Source organism: Homo sapiens, chromosome 7, assembly GCF_000001405.40.
Source record: "Homo sapiens chromosome 7, GRCh38.p14 Primary Assembly".
In the NCBI taxonomy this organism is placed as follows: domain Eukaryota; kingdom Metazoa; phylum Chordata; class Mammalia; order Primates; family Hominidae; genus Homo; species Homo sapiens.
This window is the reverse complement of record NC_000007.14, coordinates 128,661,821-128,688,757: the sequence shown is the minus strand read 5'-3', so window position 1 is coordinate 128,688,757 and position 26,937 is coordinate 128,661,821. Positions and strand designations below refer to the sequence as shown.

At 44.8% G+C, this 26,937-nt stretch overlaps 1 protein-coding gene across 17 annotated transcripts in view, besides 1 other annotated feature; it reads right to left on the bottom strand.

Moving 5' to 3' along the window:
* Positions 1–17,129, bottom strand: part of GARIN1A (golgi associated RAB2 interactor 1A) — a 37,538-nt gene extending 20,409 nt beyond the window's left edge. For 4 of the 17 annotated variants that reach the window (XR_007060024.1, XR_007060023.1, XR_007060025.1 and 1 more), the window contains exons 1-5: positions 16,208–16,466; positions 12,899–13,110; positions 10,945–11,194; positions 8,609–8,727; positions 5,503–5,794 (exon numbers count right to left, since the gene is read on the bottom strand). Coding sequence is in view for 4 of the 17 variants with exons in the window: in NM_001012454.6 (NP_001012457.3) it covers positions 5,599–5,794; positions 8,609–8,727; positions 10,945–11,194; positions 12,899–13,110; positions 16,208–16,360 (930 nt within the window). In the remaining 13 variants the exon portion in view is untranslated. The other 13 variants (XR_007060033.1, XR_007060021.1, NM_001290254.2 and 10 more) reach the window with 13 other exon arrangements.
* Positions 15,545–15,604: a silencer, noted in NCBI's record as "silent region_18611". NCBI's record gives its function as "represses an Ori minimal core promoter by ATAC-STARR-seq in GM12878 lymphoblastoid cells {active_cell/tissue: GM12878}" and the evidence as "EXISTENCE:reporter gene assay evidence [ECO:0000049][PMID:35858748]".

The window sequence follows — 26,937 nt, the reverse complement described above, 5'->3', positions numbered from 1 at the left end:
ACCGTTATTATTAAAAGCAAAAAGATGGTTCTACAGAATGGGGGCAGAGAGGAGTAGGAATGGTACTCAGAGGAAACTGAGATGCCTCTTTACAGCTCTTGCCCAGTCAAAAGAAGATCACACAACTCTACATGTGCAAAACCATCAAGGGCTTAGGATTTTCAGGAGTGAAAGTTTGTGGACTCCCTACCAGGGAATGAACCCAGTCAAAGCAAGAGGTACCTGGAATGGTAGTATAGGAGGGAAGTAAGAAATGACAACTACTACTGACTTGTAACCAAGAAGCAGAAAGAACTAAAACTTCCACCTGTATTTCTTTCTTTGCAGTGATGTATGTTATTTAAATTAAATCCTTCTCTCATTTTGTGCATAGGGTATGCTTGTGGCGTTTATATTTACTGTTTGGTCTAGAAGTTTTGTGATACAAAGGTAAGGAAGAAACCAGGGGGGCCAGGCGCGGTGGCTCACGCCTGTAATCCCAGCACTTTGGGAGGCCGAGGTGGGCAGATCATGAGGTCAGGAGATCGAGACCATCCTGGCCAACCTAGTGAAACCCCATCTCTACTAAAAATACAAAAATTAGCTGGATGTGGTGGCGCGTGCCTTTAATCCCAGCTACTCGGGAGGCTAAGGCAGGAGAATTGCTTGAACCTGGGAGGTGGAGGTTGCAGTGAGCCGAGATCACTGCACTCCAGCCTGGGCGACAGAGCAAGACTTCATCTCCAAAAAAAAAAAAGATTGTATGTGGGTTTGGACAGTGTCCGAGAAGAATCTAGGTCTCATAGAGGATGTCAAGGCGTAACAATACTCTAAAAAAATGACTAGGCAAGCAAGCAGGTTGATTTACCATGATCACATAGGTGCCCAAAGTAGACAGAGATTCAATGAACCAAAACAGAATAGTTTATTGCCAACAGCAAACAGCCAGAGCACCAGCATGGCAGTACCAGTTGCTCTGTCCCCCAGCAATACAAGGGGCTTTGCATACAGCTGAGGCACCCATGGTGAAGGGCTCAGTAATTTTTACAACAAACAGTAACCAAACCTGTCTCCTCCTCCAGAGACAGAGGACAGTTAGGACTTGAAATTTGACACGCTTAGCAAGGATGTGTAGAGATGCTCAAGGCCCATGGTGGAGTACCTCTTCCAACAGAGAGCAAAGAGACTGCCATGGAAATTTGTTATTATCAGCCACCAGATAACCGTTCCCCTAATGGTCTTCTTGTAACACTCCTCAATTTCCTTTGGGGAAACCACCTAGCTTGCTGCAGCATTTGATGAAATGGTCAATTCACTACCCCTATCTGAATTCACAGAGCTGTTCTGGTGTCAGAGCATTCCAAGATCGGCTCCGCAGTTGTCCCTTTGATTTTGTGAGCCAACCCACATCCGTCCAATGAATTCCTTTTGGTTTAGATTAGAGTCAGCTTCTCTTACTGGCAACCAAAGAAGTCTAACTGACATAAAATGGCATCTGTTATGACAGAGTTCACAGTTCCACCAAGGAGACAGACATGTAAACAAATAGCCACAATTGGGTGAGAAATGCTATAAAAATGCTATAATACAAGGCACATGTAAGGCACAATAGTAGCATTGAAGAAATCCATCAATAAGGATAAGTGTCATGAGGGCAATATGTGGAGAAAGTAAGCAAATGTATCTCAGGTAGAACAAAAGTATATACAATGTCCTCAAAGTATCTTCAAACATGGCGCATTTAGGGAACCACAAGAAATTTGGCATGGTGGGAGCATAAGATTCTATGGCAGCAGTGGCCAGTGGAGAGGCTGGAGAGAGAGGCAGGGGTCTAGTCATTTCATGTCAAAGGGTCTGGTTTTATTAAGGAGGAAACTCAGTCAGATATATTTTTTTTTTTTTTGAGATGGAATCTTGCTCTGTTGCCCAGGCTAGAGCGCAGTGGAGTGATCTCGGCTCACTGCAACCTCTGCCTCCCCAGTTCAAGAGATTCTCCTGCCTCAGCCTCCTGAGTAGCTGGGACTACAGACGCGCACCACCACACCTGGCTAATTTTCACATTTTTAGTAGAGACAGGGTTTCACCATGTTGGCCAGGCTGGTCTCAAACTTCTGACTTCAAGTGATCTGCCCACCTTGGCCTTCCAAAGTGCTGGGATTACAGGTATGAGCCACCGTGCCTGGTCCTTTCTGTCAGATTTATGTGTCAAAAAGTTGCTCTGTTAGAGGTATGAAAAGGGAATGAGTTGGGAAGACATTGGAGAGGCATCAAGAGTAATTTGGATTTTGGAGTTAGACAGACTGGCTTCAAGTCCTGGCTCTGCTACTTACTACCTGTGTGACCTTAAGCAAGTTCTTGAACCTCTCTGTGGCTCCGGTTTATCATTTATAAAATGTAATAATAAGATCTACTTCTCAATGGCTTGTGGTGTGGTTTATGTGATCTTTGTAAAGTCAGCATAGTGCTTAGAAGATAGCAAATTTCTAAAGATGTTAGCTATTATGATGATGATGATGATAAAGTCTGGGAGACCAATTGGGGTTACTATTTTACTTTATTTTATTTTGAGACGGAATCTGGCTCTGTCGCCCAGGCTGGAGTGCGGTGGCGCCATCTCTGCTCACTGTAACCTCCACCTCCCAGGTTCAAGAGATTCTTCTGTCTCAGCCTCCCGAGTAGCTGGGACTACAGGTGTGCGCCACCATGCCCAGCTAATTTTTGTATTTTTAGTAGAGATGGGGTTTCACCATATTGGCCAGGCTGGTCTCAAACTTCTGACCTCGTGATCTGCCCGCCTCAGCCTCCCAAAGTGCTGGGATTACAGGCCTGAGCCACCATGCCTGGCCTGGGGTTACTATTAATACAATAGTCTAGGTGAGGGCTGATGAAGGCTTAAACCAAGACAAAGAAGTGGGGATGACAAGCCTTTCAATGTTTATAAGTATGCCATATAGATAGGATGGCCACATGATTTGTGATTCACTGAGGGACACTTCTCAGAGTGAAATGGGTATGTATTAATAATGATACCAGGACAACAGGCATGCATTTGGAAGTACAATCACCCTGCACATTAGTCTTTTCTAAGTTCAGCTTCTAGATGTCCCTCACCAGCACCAACAATGCTCAGCTTATTTGATTGTAACATACTGAAAGGAAACTTGTTTTTAATTTTACTGGAGGCAAGACAAAACCAACAAGCATCAGGCATCCTCTTAACTCAGATGTCTTTTCTGACTCAATTCAGCCAGATTTGACTGCTCAGCCCAACTGAGCATGCACAAGAGGAGGGCAACCATGTTCTTTCTTTCTGCACCACATAGGATGTGAACCACACATGCTGGAAAGCAGGGCCTCCAGCTTTCATTTGCAGACTGGGTGGCTCAGACATCAGGTCAACATTAATGGCTTCACTATGTCTCCAAAATAGGACTTGGCATCTCTCCCAGACCCTCCCTCAAGGCAGGTAACTTGTCCGTCTGTCTTGTTCTCTCCAATATACTTAGCGTCAAACGCAGTGTCTAGCACCTAGCAGGAGCCTGACAAATACTTATTAAATATTGGAGTGGGCGTGGTGGGGCTGGGCGTGGTGGCTCATGCCTGTAATCCCAGCACTTTGGGAGGCCGAGGAGGGTGGATAACCTGAGGTCAGGAGATCAAAACCAGCCTGGCCAACATGGAGAAACCCTGTGTCTGCTAAAAATACAAAAATTAGCCGGACTGGTGGTTCACACCTGTAATCCCAGCTACTTGGGAGGCTGAGGCACAAGAATCGCTTGAACCTGAGAGGTGGAGGTTGCAGTGAGCTGAGATCACACCACTGCACTCCAGCCTAGGCAACAGAACAAGACTGTCTCAAAAAAAAAAAAAAAGGAGTCATGGTATTTTCCTTGTAAGTATTCCCTATGTGTATAAAGGTTGGCCAAAGCTCCTACCCCATTCCCAATACTCAAAGATGCCATGTCTTCCAGTTCACTTTCATTAGGTTCTGGGTAAGAAACAGTCAAATTAATCAGAATTTCTGGTGATGGGCAGTCAATATCTTCCTCACCATGTTTTCATTAGCAATGAAATGTTGTATGAGCCAGGGGAGCCTTCATAGCTTTACACTAACACAGGGCAATGAAGACCTAATTTATTCTTTTTTTTTTTTTTTTTTTTTTTGAGATGGAGTCTGGCTCTGTCACCCAGGCTGGAGCACAGTGGCATGATCCCAGCTCACTGCAAGCTCTGCCTCCTGGTTCAAGCAATTCTCCTGCCTCAACCTCCTGAGTAGCTGGGACTACAGGTGTGCACCACCACATCCAGCTAATTTTTGTATTTTGGGTAGAGACAGGGCTTTGCCATGTTGGCCAGGCTGGTCTCGAAGTCCTGACCTCAAGTGATCTGCACACCTTAGCCTCCCAAAGTGCTGGGATTACAGGCAAGAGCCACCGCGCCCAGCCAAAGACTCAATTTCTTGCTTGATATAGTGGAGCAACACAAAGGAATCTTCCAGCTGGTTACCATCCTTCTCAGGATTTCTTTTATTTTGGGCTTGCAGTAGCTCAACCTCTATTTCCCCCTGCCCCTTTGAAAGTTGATTTCTCCTCAGAGGCCCTTTCCAAGCCAGCCTTGGACTGGCTTTCTTGGCTTTGCTTGGCTATTGTGTGGTTTCAACTGAGCAGACTGATATATGATTTGGATCTGTCTCCCTGCCCAAATCTCATGTTGAATTTAATCCCCAGTGTTGGAGGAGGTGCCTGGTGGGAGGTGATTGGATCATGGGGGTGGATTTCCTCCTTGCTGTTCTCATGATAGTGAGTTCTCACGAGATTTGGTTGTTTAAAAGTGCATAGCACCTCCCACTTCTTTCTTTCTCCTGCTCCAGACTCGTAGGACAGGTCTGCTTCTCTTTTGCCTTCTGCCTTGATTGTAAGTTTCCTGAGGCCTCCCCAGTCATGCTTCCTGTACAGCCTGGGGAACCATGAGCCAATTAAACCTCTTTTCTTTATAAATTACCCAGACTCGAGGCTGGGCCTGGTGGCTCACGCCTGTAATCCTAACCCTTTGAGAGGCCAATGTGACTGGATGGCCTGAGCTCAGGAGCTGGAGACCAGCCTGGGCAACGTGGTGAAACCCCATCTCTACTAAAATATAAAAACTTAGCCAGGTGTAGTGTGTGCCTGTAGTCCCAGCTACTTGGGAGGCTGAGGCTGGAGAATTGCTTGAACCCAGGAGGTGGAGGTTGCAGTGAGCCATGATCGCACCACTGTACTCCAGCCTGGAGACAGAGCAAGACTCTATCTCCAAAATAAATAAATAAATAAATAAATAAATAAATAAAATTACCCAGTCTCAGGTAGTTCTCTGTACACACAGACAGTAACTTTTCCCACCTATTTTTCCAAAAACTGCTCCTGTTCTCAGTCAGTCCTTTCCCAAACTGGAGCCTCCCTATAGCCCAACCTGCAAAAATTAGGGACTCACTTGGAAGTTTATTGGTGGAAGTAGAGAAGCACCTTGTTGGAAACACCATCTTACCTCTCCCAAGGTCACTTGGCTCACAGTGGAAAAGGAGCATTATAAGAGGTGGTAGCAAGTACACGTATGCAAGGAAGAGCATGTTTTGCCTAGGTGTCAGGCTCCCAAGAAGTGCTCTCCTAGGTAACTGGCTATATGAACTTGTAGAAGGTGCTCATTCCAGTCCTCTTGTTCCCAGAGGCTGTGGCTCAAGGCAGCTCTCATGGGTATATTCAAATTGATTGGAGATGCCACTGGAGAGGGTATCTTGTAGCTGCTGCAGTTGTCTATTTCAATGGCAGTGTCATTGTTCCTGTAGGAGCCCAGGGAATTTTGGGGTTATTGAAAGCAATAGAAGAAAAAGAAAACATTGTTAAAATTTAACTTAAAAACCACTTTCAGCTGGGTGCAGTGGCTCACACCTGTAATCCTAGCACTTTGGGAGGCCGAGGTGGGCGGATCACTTGAGGTCAGGAGTTCAAGACCAGCCTGGCCAACATGGTGAAACCCCGTCTGTACTAAAAATACAAAAATTAGCCAGGCATGTGGCACACGCCTGTAATTCCAGCTACTCGGGAGGCTGAGGCATGAGAATTGCTTGAACCCAGGAGGCGGAGCTTGCAGTGAGCAGAGATGGCACCACTTCCAGCCTACGTGACAGAGTGAGACTCCTTCTCAAAAAACAACACAAAACAAAAAAAACCAACTCACTTTCTAATCATGCCTTTTTCCAGCTCCAGTGCTTTAAGGACATGTAGAAATATGGAAATGTGGGGCAGTGACAATATGCACACATGCAATAATGTTAAGGGCAACCCGAGGAGAGAAAGCCACAGAGGAGGAGGAGGGAGCCTGGAGCTAAGGCCTGCCCTGTGGAGGAACAAACAACTCTTCAAACCTTAAGTACTGCTTTGATGTGTTGAGAATATAATGTATTATGACTCAAAGACAAAATCCCGGGGACTAAAAATTTAAGATCAGAGAAGTGAGAGTGAGCTGGGCTGCCTGAAGGGATTGCCAGCCTTGGTAACCAAGGGCTTGGGTTGTCACGTGGGGAGAGAGTCCTTTGTAAAGAGTTGCTGGCTCCTTTTCCTTAAGCTGAAAGAGAGAGCCTTCCTTGGACAACCCAGGGGGCTTGAGCTGTGGCTCTAGGACTCTGGGAGAAGAGTTGTTTCTGTGCCTAGGAAGCAAGGTCCTCCTCTCCAATGGCTGGTCAAAATATGAGAGGATGATTCCTGAGGACCAGATGTGGACTGTATGAGAGAGAGCAAGCAAGTGTACACCAGCCTGGAGCCACTGTAAGCCTTACCCAGGAGGACTCCTTAAAGGGGATAGCTAGTGCCTGGGGGAGCATGGTCCCTGCAGAGCCATGGCCAGGGGGGTTGTGGGGGGGGGTGCAGTGTGGCCAGATGAAAGGGAGGTGTTGCAGTTGAGGGGCCAGAAAGGAGATTTCAAAGAACCCAAGAAAGCTCCTGGCCAGCTGTGATGGCTCATGACTGTAATCCCAGCACTTTAGGAGGTCAAGGTAGGAGGACTGCTTGGGCTGAGGAGTTTGAGACCAGCCTGGGCAACATAGCAAGACCTTGTCTCTACTAAAAATTTAAAAAATTAGCCAGGCATGGTGGTGCATGCCTGTAGCCCCAGTTACTTGGGAGGCTGAGGTGGGAGGATTGCTTGACCCCAGGAGATTGAGGCTGTAGTGAGCCAAGATCATGGCACTGCACTCCAGCCTGGGCAACAGAGTGAGACACTGTTGGAAAGGAGAGGAGAGGAAAGGAGAGGAGAGCAGAGGAAAGGAGGAGAGGAGAGGGGAGGGGAGGGGAGGGGAGAGGAGGGGAGGGGGAAATAAAAGAGAAAGAAAGAAACGAGAGAAAGAAGGAAAAAGAAAAAAGAAAGAAAGCTCCTAAGAGAAAAAAGGTAGCTTTAAATATTAGGAAACAGAAAGAGAAGAGTGACAACCCAGTTCCCCCCTAGGAAAGGTCACCTTGATAGGGAGCCAGACTGAGGGTAAGAAGATGTGATAAGTTCAGGGTTTTGATAGTTTTCAGACATTAGATATTTTAATTTCAGAATTGAGGCTGCTTTTGCAATTTAAATGGACCAAAGGACCTTTTATATTCTCAGAGAGAGCCCATATGCTATGTGGCCTGCCCAGAAAGCCAGCTTTTATCCAGGGGCAAGAGGAAACCTTCTCCCACTGAAAAAGTTATGAAGGGCAGACAAAATAAATTTGCATTTTGATGATACCCTACAAGTTGCACTTGTGCAGCATATTGGTTGCACTATCTTGCTTTGAGTTTCTATTACTTGTTACAGAAAGAATCTAATACAATTATTAGTAAATTAATGAGACTTTGGAGCTACTGGTTGTTTCCCTTATTCTGTCCATTTTGCAGAAGAGGCTGGTGAGGACCAGGCGCAGTGGCTCACATCTGTAATCCCAGCACTTTGGGAGGCCAAGGTGGGTGGATCACCTGAGGTCAGGAGTTCGAGACCAGCCTGGCCAACATGGTGAAACCCTGTCTCTACTAAAAATAACAAAAAATTAGCCGGGTGTGGTGGCGGTCGCCTGTAATCCCAGCTACTTGGGAGGCTGAGGCAAGAGAATCGCTTGAACCCAGGAGGTGGAGTTTGCAGTGAGCTGACATCACGCCATTGCACTCCAGCCTGGGCAACAAGAGTGAAACTCTGTCTCCAAAAAAAAAATAAAAAGAAAGAAAGAAAGGAAAAAGAAAACTAAAAAAGAAGAGGCAGATGAGGCAAAGAGAACTAGGGTTTTACCCCAGGGATCCTTGTGAGCTTGGATTGGAAATAGTCAATAGCTAACTCCACCATGAGCCTGCTTTGTTAGCTTACACTTCTTTGAATTAATTTTCTCATCCCTCATTCCTTTTATTGAACACCTGTCATTAGAAAACACTGGAGTTTGCCTAAGAAGTGAATATTCAGATCAAAGGGCCAAAGACCTTGTTTTCAAAGGCAGGCTTACAATAAAATTGACAGAAAAAGCCATGTGCATGACTATCTAAAATACAAAGAATACAAAGAAGGAACTGAGATAGGTTCGTTGACCCCATGACTTCACACTGGAGGAAGGGATCTGGAGCTGACCCCACAGAGGACCCACCTGTCTGCTGTGAGCTGGGGCTTTCCTGAGAGCTGTGAGAAACTGCCACTGGTCTGCTCAGCCGCCAGCAGCACGAGGGGCTCGCTGGGCTGGGGGGATGACAGGAGGCTGTTTTCAGGCTGGATGGAGAAATTTAGCGTCAGATGGCTAGGTCTGCTCAGAGAGTTCTTGGCCTCCTCGGGGTAGAACTTTGAAGGGGTTTGTGATATTACAGTTGAGTTTCACACCCTAACCCTGGGAACCTGTTCCTTCAGCATTAAGTCCCGAGAATCATCCAACAAGAAATGAGACCCCTGGCAGGGTCACACCTGCTCCCTGGTCAACTGCAGTGGCTGCTCTGTCCTGAGTGCAGATCTGAACGTTCAGAGGCAGGGCTGTCAGGCTGTAAAACTGCTGACCTTCAGAGTCAATAACATACTTGAAGCACAGAACTTAAGTGAGAGGAGGAAAGCATTTAGATTCTGAAATCTGAAGGTTTTGAACAGTCCAATCTATTGGCCTTCCTTCCTGTGCTTCTACACCAAGCAGGACCTGGAAAGGCCTTATGTGTATCAAAGACGTACCCTAAATAAACCAAAGAGGAAGGGCAAATACTTGAGGAAATATTTGTAAAAATTTGTAAGGGTCCAAAATCCCAATGTATAAAAAGTTTTATTTTAGGCTGGGCGCAGTGGCTCACACCTGTAATCCCAGCACTTTAGGAGGCCAAGGTGGTTGGATCACGAGATCAAGAGATCGAGACCATCCTGGCCAACATGGTGAAACCCCGTCTCTACTGAAAATACAAAAATTAGCTGGGCGTGGTGGCGCACACTTGTAGTCCCAGCTACTCGGAAGGCTGAGGCAGGAGAATCGCTTGAACCTGGGAGGCGGAGGTTTCAGTGAGCCAAGATTACACCACTGCACTCTAGCCTGGTGACAGAGTGAGATTCCATCTCAAAAAAAAAAAAGTTTAATTTTACAAATCAATTTAGAGAAACACAAGATTGCCAATAGAAAAATGGCCAAAGAACACAACAGACAATGCCATATATATGGCATTAATATATATATATATAAAAACAATCTTGTGTTATATATAACTACAAATACATAACAATGTAACGATTGTTACATACGTATATATGTAACAATCGTTACATAAGTATATATGTATGTAACAATCGTTACATATGTATATATGTATGTAACGATTGTTACATATGTATATATGTATGCAACAATGCTGAAACTCATTGAAAATCAGAGATGCCACTTCTTTACCTATTATACTAGGAAATGCATTAAAACATTTACTTCTTAATTGTAATAAGATACACAGTAACATACTAATCTTTTTTTTTTTTTTTTGAGATGGAGTTTCACTCTTTCGCCCAGGCTGGAGTAAAGTGGCATAATTTCAGCTCACTGCAACCTTTGCTTCCTGAGTTTAAGCAATTCTCCTGCCTCAGCTTCCTGAGTAGTATTATAGGGGCCTGCCACCATGCCTGGCTAATTTTTGTATTTTTAGTAGAGACAGGGTTTCACCATGTTGGGCAGGCTGGTCTCGAACTCCTGACCTGAGGTGATCCACCTGCCTCGGCCTCCCAAAGTGTTAGGATTACAGGCGTGAGCCACTGCATCCAGACTACAGACACTCATATGATTGGTGAGAGTATAATTTGGTATGATATTTATGGAAATAATCTGGCAATATGTGTTAAGAGCCTTGAAAATGTTCATGCTGTTTGAATTCTACTTCTAAAAACCTAACTGAGAATATAATCAGAAATGTAGATCATACATATAAATGCTTGTTTTAGCATTATTTACAATAATAAACAAATACAGGCCAGGCACAGAGGTTCACACCTGCAATCCCAGCACTTTGGGAGGCCAAGGTGGGTGGATCACTTGAGGACAGGAGTTCAAGACCAGCTTGGCCAACATGGTGAAACCCCATCTCTACTAAAAATACAAAAATTAGCCAGGCATGGTGGCACACACCTGTAATCCCAGCTACTCTGGAGGCTGAGGCACAAGAATCGCTTGAATTTGGGAGGTGGAAGCTGCAGTGAGCCGAGATCGCGCCATTGCACTCCAGCCTGGGTGACAGGGCATGGCTCTGTCTCAAAAAAAAAAAAAAAAAAAAAAAGAAACATTTCTAAATGTCTTAATATTAGGGACTGGTCAAATAAATTTTAATTCATTCATACTACTGAATAGAAATTATCAAAATGATATTTACAAAGAGCTTTTAAAAGACATGGAAACAAGTCTATATATATACACAGACACTTACATATATACTTATATATACTTATTTCTCGACAGGTCCCGGAAGGAGGCCCACTTACTGTTGTTTCTGTGGAGTTGGTGGGCATCTTGGGCACCAGGCAGTGAGTGAATTTGATTCTCGGGTCTTTGGTGGTGATGGACAGGCCTTTCTGCAGAATTTTCACCAAGCGGACCCAGAATTGAAACACAATCTCTGGGTGTTTTTCGTGGAGCTTCAGATAGTAGATCTTTTCGGTCACTGTCCTAACCCTCAGGATGCGCTGGAGCCGGTCGTAGATTCGTAGCTCCACGTACTTCAGGGGGAGAAGCCTGGACATAATCAGGACATTTCCATGGGAGAGCCCGTGGTTTCTTTTTTTTTTTTTTTTGAGACGGAGTCTCGCTGCCGCCGAGGCTAGAGTGCAGTGGCGCGATCTCGGCTCACTGCAGGCTCTGCCCCCGGGGTTCACGCCATTCTCCCACCTCAGCCTCCTGAGTAGCTGGGACTACAGGCGCCCGCCACCACGCCCGGCTAATTTTTTATATTTTTAGTAGAGACGGGGTTTCACTGTGTTAGCCAGGATGGTCTCGATCTCCTGACCTCGTGATCCGCCCGCCTCGGCCTCCCAAAGTGCTGGGATTACAGGCGTGAGCCACCACGCCCGGCTGAGCCCGTGGTTTCAATCGACCATGTGGGTGCCCACCTAGAGGTGGCTCAGCGACACTGGCCTCCTACCTCTCTGCTTGGGGGATGCTGAAGGGAGAAAGCTCATGTAATGAAAGTGGGGGTGATTACTAAGACTGACTCTTCTCCAATTTCCAGGACTTTAGTAGGAATACAGGTGTATGCCAGTACACCCACCTAATTTTTTTGGTATTTTTTGGTAGTAACAGGATCTCCCTATGTTGCCCAGGTTGGTCTTGAACTCCTGGCTTCAAGCGATCCTCCCACCTCAGCCTCCCAAAGAGCTAGGATTACAGATGTGAGCCACTGTGCCCTGCCAAGATAAGTATGATTAATTCCGCTTTACAGATTTCGAGGCTGAGGCTTAGAGAGGCTAAGTGATTTGCCCAAGTTTAGATCTTATTAAGTGTGACCTGGAACTAAGGTTTCCTGACTCAGTTTCTAGGACTCTTTCTCCCTATATCCTGACTTACTGTGTCGAAAGGGCAAGGAAAAGGATAGCTGTCTCCTGTATATCTAGTATTTTTTTTTCAATCTCAGCATTTCATAGTCGTGTTTGACTTTTGTATCCCCACCTTTTCCTTGGAAACCCCCTCTATCTATATTGACAAAGAAACATTTCTAAATGTCTAATATTAGGGACTTGTCAAGTGAATTTTAATTCACTCATATTACTAAAGAAATTATCGAAATGATATTTACAAAAAGATTTTAAAAGACATGGAAACGTGTCTATATATACACACACACACATATATACACACACACTTACACACACACACACATTTACAGAAAAGGAAGCCAAGATTCTCAAAAACCAGGCTCGAGACAAGGACTGGGTACTGCCCTATCCCAGCACGAAGCACAGTGCTTGGTAAATATAGATACTAAATAAATAAGGTCAGGCGCGGTGGCTCACGCCTGTAATCCCAGCACTTTGGGAGGCCGAGGCAGGTGGATCACGAGATCAGGAGATCGAGACCATCCTGGCTAACACAGTGAAACCCCATCTCTACTAAAAATCCAAAAAAAAAAATTAGCTGGGCATGGTGGCAGGCGCCTGTAGTCCCAGCTACTCGGTGAATGGCGTGAACCCGGGAGGCGGGGCTTGCAGTGAGCCGAGATCCCGCCACTGCACTCCAGCCTGGGCAACAGAGCGAGACTCTGTCTCAAAAAAAAAAAAAAAAAAGATACTAAATAAATCGTTGCTAAACAAATGAATGAATGAGTTCTACAGGGTTTATGCACTAAAGAACGCTATCTTTTCTTTTGATCTAAAATCCAGCTACAAAGCAATGCATATCCCAGTCAATCATTCCATCCCTTCCCGCCCTCCCTCAAGCCTTTACCTGCTGAGGTTGATGACTGGGGCGTCACCAGGTGTGCTCCAGGTGGTAAATGGACCCTGGGGCCAGGTAACATTGGCCATCAGGAGGACATTGGGGAGTGGCAGGGAGGGCACCGAGGAGGTGACCCCGAGGATCACGGTGGCAGACCCTTCACAGACATCTCTCCAGTTCCCGGGCTTAGTGACCTGGAAATCAGCCTCAGGTACATGGGTCAGAAAGGAGCAGAAAACAAGGGGTGGAATACAGATGCTGGAAAGTGGCACATCATCTTGGGGGCAGGTGTGCACACACTGGGCTGGGCCCTGACCTGCTATTGATCCTTTTCATTGGCCTCCCCAAATACACTTTAAGGTCATTGGCTGCAGGAACCCTGTGTCATTCTTCTCTGGGTCCTCTGTTTTATCTAACTAAAAAGATAACTGTTTTATCTAACTAAAAAGATGCACTAGCAAGAAAAAGCTGAGTGGCACTGAAGTTTTCATTCCCCCATCTTTGGGCAGGAGAAGCCAGCACTGGTTTCTAGTGGCCCAAAAGGGAGATTGTGTGAAGAAAGTCCCAGAAGGAGAGGAAAGTGAGGAAAAAGCTGTTGAATGGGGAAGACCCAGACAGCTTGAGTTGAGGGAGGTTTGGAGCACTTCTCCCAGGATGATGGAGGGGCTATCTTGTTGCTGGGTCTTGAGTGGAATGAGGACCTATTCTCTTGAAGCAGAAGGCGGCCATCACAGGACAGAAAGACTGGATGCCCACCACTGGGCACTGTGTCTCAGCTAAGACACCCCCCACCTCACTGTGCACGGCTGGCAGAAAAGCACCAGAGCTGTGGCCACTTAGGAGCCACAGGGACCTGGATAAGGAACATATGAGGAGGGACGCCTATGTTCCCAAGGCCAGAGGGCCTTCTCCCAATGCTCTACACTTTTTTTAGAAAATAGAGATGGGGTCTCACTATGTTGCCCAGACTGGTGTCAAACTCCTGGGCTCAAGTGATCTTCCCTTCTCAGCCTCCCAAAGTGCTGGGATCACAGGCATGAGCCACTATGCCCAGCCAATGTTCTAGACTTTGTAAAACTATCGACACCATTGCCCAGTCCTTGGTGGAACTGGGGATGAGGGAAAGCCCCAGGGATGACTGAAATGTAATTTCCCACCAGCCTGACCAGATGGTGTTCCCAGAAAAGTGAATTTTGATTTTGAAAAAAAAAAGTGACACTTCTTGGAGCCCTTGTTGAGGAATGAAATTCATATCCTCTGCAAAACACAAAGGGTTGTACACATTGAGAGTAAGTGCTCAATAAATGTTTGTGGGTAATGCTGCTTTGAGATGATGATAGTGATGGTGATGTGCAGGAAGGGGGAGAGAGGAAGCAGTGTAACTGTACTATAACAACTATAACTATAACTAATATGTGGGTTGCATCACTTCAAGTAAACTTTGGACTGTGTGCGGTCATTCATGCCTATAATCCCAGCACTTTGGGAGTCCAAAGCCGGAGTATCACTTGAAGCCAGGAGTTCAAGACCAGCCTGGGCAACATAGTGAGACCCTGTCTCTATCAAAAATTTTTTTTTAAAAAATCAAACTTTGAACTTTTCTGTGCGGGTCAGCCTCTCCCTAGCACATTCTAAGTTTGCTGCTACCCAGGTCACTTAGTGTCCATTCAGAGAATCTAAACAGTTTTAATATTAGGCCAAAGAAAACAGCACTTTGGGAGGCCAAGGCGGGCAGATCATGAGGTCAAGAGATCAAGACCATCTTGGCCAACATGGTGAAACCCCATCTCTACTAAAACACAAAAAAATTAGCTGGGCGAGGTGGTGCACGCCTGTGGTCCTAGCTACTCGGGAGGCTGAGATAGGAGAATTGCTTGAACCCAGGAGGCAGAGGTTGCAGTGAGCCTAGACCATGCCAGGGCAACGGAGTGAGACTCCATCTCAAAAAAAAAGCACACATTAAGAGAAGAAATTTGCAGCTGAATCATTACACCCAAATAGAAATGACTAGAAATTGGATCCTGAGACTGGACTTCCCATGTTATTGCTCTGTCTCCACCAAGGGTATGTTAGGAATGAGCTCGCCTCAGGTTTGCCAGCTGATCACCCAACTACACATCTCCTGGGGCACAGTAAAGGGACCGTGGAGCGGCAGGAGCCATAAACACAGCTCTCCAAAATCCGGGGACTCCATTAGGGAGCAGCTCGCTGCTCTGTGAAGAGTCTCCAAATTAAGCCCAAGACCCACCTCAAACTGTTCCCACCTTCTCTCCTATAACCCCTGGCTACTTTCCCATTCCATTTGAATGGGTCTGTGTCTTGCAGACCTTGCATTCCAGCCTCCCTGCCTTTCCTTAGGTACTTTGAAGCCCCTCTGTCTGGGATATCCTCCCCGCTGCTCTTCCACTTACCAAAATCTCAGCAGTCTCTCAAAGAATGGCTTAAGACCCTTCTGGAAAGCCTTCTTCAACTGCCAAAGTCCAGAGAGAATGCCTTGAATGAATGCCCCCAGCACCTGCTCTCTGCAGTCATGCCTGGTGCATCAGCTGGCCCAAGCTCTCTGACATAGAGCTTGCTTAGACAGTTACCAAATAACAGGTAAACCAAACTCATAGGCTTCCTGGCCAGGGACACTCTGATTTTTCTCTGCACCTCCTGCCCTGCACTCAGTAGATGTTTAGTGTGTGCTTACTGGCTGATTAACTGGTTATGCTCTCCTGCGCAGGAGCATGGGTTCAGGCTAGACCGCTAGAGGGAGGCAGGCAGCACCCGCGTTAAGACTTGATACTTACGAAAACGACCACCTTCCACTCCCAGTGGCCCCATCCCAGGCTCACTTCCATTGGTCATGTCACCACCATCCTTTTAGGGAATGGTAGGATCTGGGCAACACCTATTTACCCAGTGTCTTTGCTTTCAAACAAGGCTGTTTCTAAACCATCCCAGACTGAGGAGGATGGATTTCAGAGCAGAGTTTCTAACAGCAACCTTCATTCCCTGTAACCATCCACTTTGGACAAGTGGCCCAGAAAGGGCCTGTGAACCCTGCCTGGAGACTGAGCTCTGATCTCTCATTTGTAAAGCATAAATCAATTTCCCTAGAACAGATGACCTGCAGGTAGCTCTATCATACGGTAGGCACAAATGGAGGTGAACTTGGGACCCAGACCTTCTGGTTTTCTCTAGCTTTGGTGGCTTCTTTGTCCCCCCGCCCCCCCCTCCCCCAGGGCTTTAAAAGGCCACAGCATCTCCTAACCAACCCCTAGGAACAGGTTTTGGAAACAGAAAGACAGCTGGCCCTGAGCTCCACGAGGGTACCTGGATAAAGTTGCTTTCAAACACCACCGAGTTGGAGAACAAATTGAATTCTGGAGAATGAATCAGTTGACAAAGAAGGCCATTTTCCACCCCAAGTTCCACTCCAGGGCCTGGTTCCCTGACCTCAGGTGGGAGGCCCCTGATTTTACTCATTGGTTCTTGGTAAGAATGGGCTTGGGAACATTTCTGGGGCTCCACGCCGACCCAGCCCAATGCCAGGATGTTGATGTGATCTGCCCCCACCTCCCCAGCATTTCCTCCCCATTTACTTACGGGCTGTCCACCAGGGCTGGGAGGGCCTGTCAGCTCACAATGGCAGGAATGACATCAAGGAATGTGATGGTGACAACAGAAAAGGGAAAAAAAAAAGAAGAGGAAGGACAGAGGATGTGCCAGGCTCTTTTCTCCCTCTTTCCACCAACTACAAACCAGCAGTAATGCAGCCTATTCCACTTTGTAAACATTCAGCCTTACCCCACATGGAAAAAATGACCCTCCCAAAGTTATGCCAAGGCAGCAGTGAGCTGGCCAGATGCAAGGAAGGCTCTCGGGAACATACAGGCTTTAATCCTCTTGGCTCCCCTTGAAGCCCCTCACCAAACTTCCATGGGACTTGTTCACCTGCCCAGGGAAGTCTAAGGATAGGAAAAAGGGAGTTCATCTTCCCTACCCCATCTCATGGGAGAAAAGGAGATTTTTTTTTTTTTTTAAAGAAATGGACACCTGTTAACTAAACTGAGAAGCTTATTTATTTGGAAACAGTGGGCAAAGGAGAAGGCAGTGGCACAGTTGTATGCTGGAGCCAGACCAAAACAGGTCACGAGAGCTGGTTGTTACATTTTCAGGAATGCTACAAACCAGTTGTTAAACACAGCAATTATTAAAACTTTTTTTTTTTTTTTTTTGAGACAGAGTTTTGCTCTTGTTGCCCAGGCTAGAGTGCAGTGGCGTGATCTCGGCTCACCACAACCTCCGCCTCCCATCTTCAAGCAATTCTCCTGCCTCAGCCTCCCGAGTAGCTGGGATTACAGGCATGCACCACCACACCCGGATAATTTTGTATTTTTAGTAGAGACAGGGTTTCTCCATGTTGGTCAGGCTGGTCTGGAACACCTGACCTCAGGCGATCCACCCACCTCGGCCTCCCAAAGTGCTGGGATTACAGTCATGAGCCACCAAGCCCAGCCTTTAAAACTTAAATGATATAAACTTGGCTGGGCTTGGTGGCTCATGACTGTAATCCCAGCACTTTGGGAGGCCGAGGTGGGTGGATCGCCTGAGGTCAGGTGTTCGAGACTAGCCTGGTCAACGGGTGAAACCCCGTCTCAACTAAAACTACAAAAATTAGCCGGGTGTGGTGTGGGTACCTGTAGTCCAGCTACTTGGGAGGCTGGGGCAGGGCGATCGCTTGAATCTGGGAGGTGGAGGTTGTGATGAGCCAAGATGGTGCCACTGCACTCCAGCCTAAGCGACAAAGCAAGACTCTGTCTCAAAAAAAAGAAAAGAAAAGAAACAGTATACAGTGGTGGGCTGCTGCATATCTCTTCCCAGGGTGTGTTCAGGAACTTCATCTTGTTAGCTAGCTTGAAATCAGCAAGTGCTACAAATCAGGGTTTGATTTATTGTTCTGTTGATTGTCTAAACTAAAGTGATAGAGAAAATGTTAATTATGCAGATTAAACTTAAAGATGTGTCTGTAGCTATTATATTTTGGGCATAGAAAAATCTGAGAAAATAGCCTTCCAGTATTTGAAGACTTACCTAATTTAGCGAAGAAGTTGCCCACGTCATTGACAAATGAGTAAAGTTCCAATACACAACTTTGTTATTTCACTTTTGCCTTGCTCATTAATGTAAATCAAAATATCAACCAATATTCATGTCAGAACTATACTTGCTTGTCAGTTGCAATCATAGGTTGGCTAGAAATATCAGCGTTTGACAAAAATCAACAAAAGCTTTTGGTAAGAATCAACTGGTCATATGAAATTTACAATAAAGAGTATTATAAGGCCAGGTGCAGTGGCTCACGCCTGTAATCCCAGCACTTCAGGAGGCCAAGGTGGGTGGATTGTTTGAACTTAGGAGTTCAAGATCAGCCTGGGCAACATGGTAAAACCTCGTCTCTACAAAAAATACAAAAATTACCCGGGTGTGGTGGCACGCCCTGTGGTCCCAGCTATTTGGGAGGCTGAGGTGGGAGGATCACTTGAGTCCAGAAGGCAGAGGTTGCAGTGAGCAGAGATTGTGCCACTGCGCTCCAGCTTGGGTGACAGAATGAGACTCCCATCTCAAAAAAAAAAAAAAAAGGGATCCTAAAATTGTATATTTAAAAAGAGAAAAAGGGCTAGGTGCAGTGGTTCACACCTGTAATCCCAGCACTTTGGAAGGCCGAGGCGGGTGGATCACCTGAGGTCAGGAGTTGGAGACCAGCCTGACCAACATGGTGAAACCCCATCTCTACTAAAAATATAAAAAATTAGCCGGGCGTGGTGGCAGGCATCTGTAATCCCAGCTACTCGGGAGGCTGAGGTAGGAGAATCACTTGAACCTGGGAGGTGGAAGTTGCAGTGAGCTGAGATCACACCATTATTGCACTCCAGCATGGACAACAAGAACAAAACTCCACCTAAAAAAAAAAAAGAAAGAAAAAAGAATCCAACATCAGATCACTTCCCAGTTGGATGTATGAAAATTGGCACTTCTGGCTGGGTGTGGTGGCTTACACCTTTAATCCCAGTACTTTGGGAGGCCAAGGAGGGAGGATCACGAGGTCACGAGTTTGAAACCAGTCTGGCCGATATGGTGAAACCCTGTCTCTACTAAAAATACAAAAATTAGCTGGGTGTGGTGGCATGCGCCTGTATTCCCAGCTACTCAGGAGGCTGTGGCAAAAGAACCATTTGAACCCGGGAGGCGGAGGTTGCAGTGAGCCAAGATTGTGCCACTGTACTCCAGCCTGGGCCACACAGTGAATCTCTGTCTAAAAAAAAAAAAAGAAAGAAAGAAAAAGAAAATCGGCACTTCTTTTTCCATTCCAGGCATCAGCGAGGTAGGTGTAAGAGCTGGTGTTCAGGGCCGGGCGCGGTGGCTCACGCCTGTAATCCCAGCACTTTGGGAGGCCGAGGCGGGCGGATCACGAGGTCAGGAGATCGAGACCATCCCGGCTAAAACGGTGAAACCCCGTCTCTACTAAAAATACAAAAAATTAGCCGGGCGTAGTGGCGGGCGCCTGTAGTCCCAGCTACTTGGGAGGCTGAGGCAGGAGAATGGCGTGAACCCGGGAGGCGGAGCTGGCAGTGAGCCGAGATCCCGCCACTGCACTCCAGCCTGGGCGACAGAGCGAGACTCCGTCTCAAAAAAAAAAAAAAAAAAAAAAAGAGCTGGTGTTCAACAGTGACCCTATTGTTTTTGTGGTGGGGGCCTTTGCCTAGAGCAAGGTCAGTGTGGAATATACAGAGAAGGATGGTGTCTAGCAGCAACTACCTCCTTTCTGCTGCCCTCATCTGTGCAAAACTTATCACAGCCTTTGAAGAAATGGTGGGGGGTGCCACTTGACAGTAATAGGACATTATTCTGAAGCCAGAAGCTGTAGACATCATGTCCCTTGAGGCTATTCTGAGCTGACTGCTGAAGATGACCTTCCTGCACTGAGATTGTAGGATTTGGGGAAACCAAGGCTGTATATTTGCTATTGTTTATCCCATACTGTTCTTGCAAACAAAACAAAACAAAATAAAAATTTACTGGGACACCATTGCCATGGTACCAACTTGTTCCCTTTACCTGCTATCTCCTATCTTTGGTACCGGACAAGAAACTTTCACCCAAGGACTTGCTCTTCAGGTTGCATCAAGTTGAAGAGGGATGAAGTATTAGTTATCCTTCTCAGAATGTCCTTCCTAGACTATGCAGGACAACTACCAGGCTCTCTTGCCTTGGTGCTTATTCAGCGAGCAAGCCAATGGGTCAAATCATTCTTTCACATCTTTTAAACTCTCAAGACACACACCGTGGCTGTCAAGACACACATCTGCCTGTGACTGAGGCTCAATCTCCTAGCACTTCTCTTCTCATCAGGGGAGACACGTGCTTCTCACTGGTGTTTCCCTGAAGCTGTACCATCAGAAGCAGCTTATATCTTATTGGCTTATATCTTCCTAAGACTTGATCATTAGAAGTGGAAACTAACATTTATCTTTTTAGCATACAAAGTTTGTAACACCAGAAATTCAAACCTTCAAAGTTGTTACTTTTGCTTTCTTATAATAGTACTCCCTATTCTTGACATGTTTTTCTCTTTTCCTTGTAAAAGAAATAGGAAATTTCTTTGACAATGTTTGCAGCATATAAACCAAAAATTTAGATGACAAGAACATCAGCATGACCCCAAGTGCTAGAGTACCTCATTTATTTATATGTTTATTAATTTTTAATTCTTAACCTCCTAAAGTCCATCATTTACTTTTAAAATAGGTTTTTAAGTAAGTAAGACATTTACTTTTATTTTACATTTTACTTTACTGCAACATTATTTGCAATAGCAAAAGACCAGACGACTTGAATATCCACCAACAGGGCACCACTTAATTAAATTATGATACATCTGTATGATGTAATGTTAGGCCATTCATAAAAAGCCCACTTTATATGTACTGATATAGAATGATCGCCAAGATTATTAAACTTTAAAAAGATGCAGAACAGTGTATATAGTATGCTAGCACAAGGATATATATCCATATATACTTGAACATGCACAGACAATTTTGGGAGGAGAAAAAAGGAAATGCTAACAGTGATGGCCTTAGGACGGGGAGGGGGCAGGGATTGGTATCTTTGGTGAAACAAAGACTTACTTTTCACAGAATACCTCCTTTTTTGTACTATTTGAAATATTTTTGTACTATTTGAAATATTTACCATGGGCATGTATTTCTTATTTAAATAAATAAACTTTAAAGGTGTTAAAGAAATTCCCTATGTGCAGCTCTACAAATATTTACTGAGGAGTAAATATACACAAAGTATGGTAGGTATTAAAATAATCATTACTGGCTCTAAGAGTGGTCTGATCAGAGTTGTGGACATGTAGATGACGCTCATTTGGAGATAACTGTACTTCTTGAGATAGAAACGTATTTAAAGAAATAATGGCTTAAAAATTTCCAACTGTAGTGACAACTATAAATGTACAAGTCCACAAAGCTCAATAAACCCCAAGCAGGATAAACACAAATAAATCCTTATGAGGCACATCGTAATCAAATTGCTGATAGAAAGAAAACCTTAAAAATATCCAGAGGAACCAAGATAAGAATTACAGCAATCTTCTTGCTCCAACTGTTGAAGCCAGAAGGCATAAACATCTTAAGATTGCTGAAAGAAAAAACTGCCAACTCAGAGAATTTTATGTTCAGTAAAAATGTCCTTTAAAAATAAAGATGAATGTCTGGGTGTGGTGGCTCACACCTGTAATCCCAGCACTTTGGGAGGCTGACGCAGATGGATCACTTGAGGCTAGGAGTTCAAGACCACCCTGGCCAATATGGTGAAACCCCGTCTCTACTAAAAAATACTAATAAAGGAGAAAGTTTATTTTAAATTAGTAGTTCATGGTGCATCCCTATAGTTCCAGCTACTTGGGAAGCTGACGTGGGAGGATTGCTTGAGTCCAGAAGTTCAAGTCCCACCTGGCCTGGGCACCATGTTGAGATTCCCATCTCTAAAAAAAAAAAAAAAAATTTGAGGGGAACTAAAGAATTTTTCAGCTGGGTGCGGTGGCTCATGCCTGTAATCCCAGCACTTTGGGAGGCCGAGGTGGGTGGATCATAAGGTCAGGGGTTCGAGACCAGCCTGACCAACACGATGAAACCCCATCTCTACTAAAAATACAAAAATTAGCCGGGTGTGGTGGCGCGTGCCTGTAATCCCAGCTACTCAGGAGGCTGAGGCAGGAGAATCGCTTGAACCCGGGAGGCGGAGGTTGCAGTGAGCCAAAATCGCGCCACTGCACTCCAGCCTGGGTGACAGAGGGAGACTCCATCTCAAAAAAAAAAAAAAAAAAAGAATTTTTCAGACAAATAAAAGCTGAGAAAAATTGTTTCCAGTAGACCCGAACTACGAGAAACACTAAGAGTTCTTCAGGAGGAAGAAAACCACCACCAGATGGCAGCTTAGATGTACACTGATGTAACGACTAATGGCACTATTTTTTTTTCAACTTGCTCTTTTCTCTTAAACATATTTTTGAGATACTTTTTTAAGGATAGTCTTTCCATGGCACTAGTGAGACATTTTTAAAAGCCCTTTGTAATTTTAAGCCATTGATGTTTTGAGATTGTTTATTACCTCAACTTAACCTAGCTAATCCTGTCTGGTAACAAGAAAAAATTCTTGAAAGTAGAATTGCTGTGTGAAAGGATGTATATGAGTTGGGTGTGGTGGCTCACGCCTATAATCCCAGCACTTTGGGAGACTGAGGTGAGATTGCTTGAGTCCAGGAGTTTGAGACCAGCCTGGGCAACACAGTGAAACTCCATCTTTATAAAAAATACAAAAAATTAGTTAGGCATGGTGGTGCATGCCTTTGGTCCCAGCTTCTCAAGAGGTTGAGGTGGGAGGATCACTTGAGCCTGGGAGGCAGAGGTTGCAGTGAGCCAAGATCACGCCACTGCACTCCAACCTGGGCAACAGAGTGAGACCCTGTCTCAAAACAAATAAATATTTTTTTTAAAAGAAGAGTGTATATGCTGATGGATACTACTGTGATGAACTTCATAACAAGTATACAAATTTAAATTTCCACCAACAATGTTTGAGAGTTTGTGCTTCTCATAAATCCACCATCTCAGTATGTCATAAAGCTTTTGAACTTATCAGGCTGAAAGTTTTTAAAATGATATCTCAATGTAATTTTAATTGGGCATCTCTTCATTTATCTCATTGGTTTTTATTCTATGAATTTTTAATTCATAACATTTGCCAATTTTTCTATTAGGCTATTAGTCTTTTTCTTATCTATTTTATAGGCAATCTTTTTATATTGCAAAGACTGAGTTGTCATTTTTTCCTAGTTTTTTATTTGTCTTTGAATATGTTTACTGTGTTGTTGCCTTGTGGAATTTCTTTTGGTAGTTAAATTTATCAATATTTTCATTTATGGCTTTTGGATTTTTGTATGATATTTTGACAAAGTTTCCCCATTCCAAGGTTATACAATCATTTCCCCATGGTTTCCTGAATGACTTTTACGGTTGTTATCTTTCTATTTAAGCCTTTAATCCATCTAGATTTTTTCCTGGTGTGTGATGTAAAGTCTAGAACCAATGTGGTTGTCTGTATTTCCCCAGATGGCTATCAATTGTCCAGTGTCACTTATTGTATAGGATGTTACATCTTTCACCACTGATTTGAGATTCATTCATTTAACAAATGTTTATCAAGTATCTACTATATATGGTAGGCACTTTCCTAGATGCTTGGGATAGATCAGTGAACAAAATAAAAAGGCTACGTTTATGCGAGGGGATTCCAACAATTAAAAAAACACAATAAATAATCGCATAGTGTGTTAGGAGGTGGTCAGTGCTATAGAAAGAAAAGAAGAACAGGATGAGGGGGACCAGGAATGTTGGGGATGGATGTGGTGGAAGGCTGTGCTATTAAATAGGCTGGTCAGTTTAAGCCTCATTGAGATTCATGAGGACAATACCACCTTTCTCATAATCAAAAGTCTTAACTATAATAGGCCAATTTCAGAATTTATTTTACATTGCTTTCATCTGTCTATTCACACTCTGGTACTACACTGTTTTAAATATTGAGGATTTATAGTATTTCCAAACTTTACCAGGTTAGTTTGAAGGAAATAATGTTTTCTTTTTTTTTTCTTTCCACAGGTGTTATCTCATAAAGGAGATAATTTTTAAGGTATGAAATTTGAAATTTTTTTTTCTTTTGGGGCACAGTGGCTCACTACTATAATCCCAGCACTTGGGGAGGCCAAGGTGGGTGGATCACCTGAGGTCAGGAGTTCAAAACCAGCCTGGCCAACATGGTGAAACCCTGTCTCTACTAAAAATACAAAAATTAGCTGGGCATGGTGGCGCAGGCCTGTAATCCCAGCTACTCTTAGGAGAATCGCTTGAAGCCGGGAGGTGGAGTTTGCAGTGAGCCAGGATGGTGCCACTGCATTCTAACCTGGGCAACAGAGTAAGACTCCATCTCAAAAAAACAAAAACAAAAACAAAAAAACTATGGAGTTAAACCAATGAATTTTTTTTCTTTTGAATAGCAAGGCATTGCATATTTGGCAGGTTTTTAAAAATTGTTTGCAGCAATAGAAGTAATTGTTTACAATTGGTTCCTGTTTCTGACTGGATAAAACTCATAGTAGCAAAAAAACTTTCACAATAACAGCTCCTGAAAAGTTGAAGTTGGTCATAAAATAAATTACTAATTTTAAATTCATAAAAGAAGTACCTGACTATAACTGCCAAACATGAAGGTATCAAAGTACTAATGTACTCATGTCCTTGTACAACTGACCTGTATCAGAGTGCCTCATTTTCAAAATTAGGACTCTCTCATATTTCTACAATTTCCAAATGCATTATCAATTTTTTCATTGTTTTTGAAATCCGAAGAATTTTTAACATGACTGTAAAAGTATTTAAGGATATTTATATCTTCAAATGTTACAAAATTATTATTATTAAAAACAAACATAAAATAAGGTAAAAAGGAAATGAATAACATTAATATCCATATCTAATCACTGGGATTATACATTCACAGTGCAGGCCAGGTGCGGTGGCTCATGCCTGTAATCCCAGCACTTTGGGAGGCCGAGGCAGGTGGATCACTTGAGGCAGAAGTTCAAGACCAGCCTGGCCAACATGGTAAAACCCTGTTTCTACCAAAAATACAAAAATTAGCCAGGCATGGTAGTCCACACCTGTAGTCCCAGCTACCTGGAAGGTTAAGGCATGAGAATTGCTTGAACCCCAGGAGGCAGAGTGCATTAGTCTGTTTTCACGCTGCTGATAAAGACGTACCCAAGACTGGATAATTTACAAAGAAAAGAGGTTTAATTGGACTTACAGTTCCACGTGGCTGGGGAAGCCTCACATCATGGCAGATGGCAAGGAGGAGCAAGTCACATCTTACAGGGATGGCAGCAGGCAAAGAGAGAGAGCTTGAGCAGGGAAACTCCTCTTTTTAAAACCATCAGATCTCATGAGACTTATTCACTATCACAAGAACAGTACAGAAAAGACTTGCCCCCATCATTCAATGACCTCCCACCTGTCCCTCCCACAACACACAGAAATTCAAGATGAGATTCGGATGGGGACACAGCCAAACCATATCATTCTGCCCCTGGCCCCTCCCAAATCTCATGATCTCGCATTTCAAAACCAATCATGCCTTTCTAACAGTCCCCCAAAGTCTTAACTCATTTCAGCATTAACTCAAAAGTCCACAGTCTAAAGTCTCATCTGAGACAAGGCAAGTCCCTTCCACCTATGAGCCTGTAAAATCAAAAGCAGGTTAGTTACTTCCTGGATACAATGGGGGTATAGGCATTGGGTAAATATAGCCATTCCAAATGGGAGAAACTGGCCAAAACAAAGGGGCTACAGGCCCCATGCAAGTCCAAAATCCAGCAGGGCAGTCAAATCTTAGAGCTCCAAAATGTTCTCCTTTGACTCCATGTCTCACATCCAGGTCATGCTGATACAAGAGGTAGGTTCCCATGGTCTTGAGCAGCTCTGCCCCTGTGGCTTTGCAGGGTACAGTCTCCCTCCTGGTTGCTTTCATAGGCTGGCATTGAGTGTCTGTGGCTTTTCCAGGCACACAGTGCAAGCTGTCAGTGGATCTACCATTCTGGGTCTGGAGGACAGTGCCCCAGTAGGGACTCTGTGTGGGGGATCCGACCCCACATTTCCCTTCTGCACTGCCCTAGCAGAGGTTCTCCATGAGAGCCCCACCCTTGCAGCAAATTTCTGCCTGGGCATCCAGGCATTTCCATACATCTTCTGAAATCTAGGTGGAGGTTCCAAAACCTCAATTCTTGACTTCTGTGCACCTGCAGGCTCAACACCACATGGAAGCTCAACACCACAAGGCATGGGGCTTGCACCATCTAAAGCCAGGGCCCGAGCTCTACATTGTCCCCTTTCAGCCACAGCTGGGGCAGCTGGGATGCAGTGGACCAAACCCCAGGCTGCACATAGCTTGGGGACCCTGGGCCCAGCCCATGAAACCACTTTTTCCTCCTAGGCTTCTGGGCCTGTGATGGGAGGGACTGCCGTGAAGGCCTCTGACATGGCCTGGAGACATTTTCCCCATTGTCTTGGGGATTAACATTTGGCTCCTCCTTCCTTATGCAAATTTCTGCAGCTGGCTTGAATTTCTATTCAGAAAATGCAATTTTCTATCGCATTGCCAGGCTGCAAATTTTTCAAACTTCTATCCTCTGTTTTCCTTTTAAAACTGAATGCTTTCAACAGCACCCAAGTCACCTCTTGAATGCTTTGCTGCTTAGAAATTTCTTCTGCCAGATACCCTAAATCATCTCTCTCAAGTTCAAAGTTCCACACATCTCTAGGGCAGGGGCAAAATGCTGCCAGTCGCTTTGCTAAAACATAACAAGAGTCACCTTTGCTCCAGTTCCCAGTAAGTTCCTCAGCTCCATCGGAGACCACGTCAGCCTGGGTCTTATT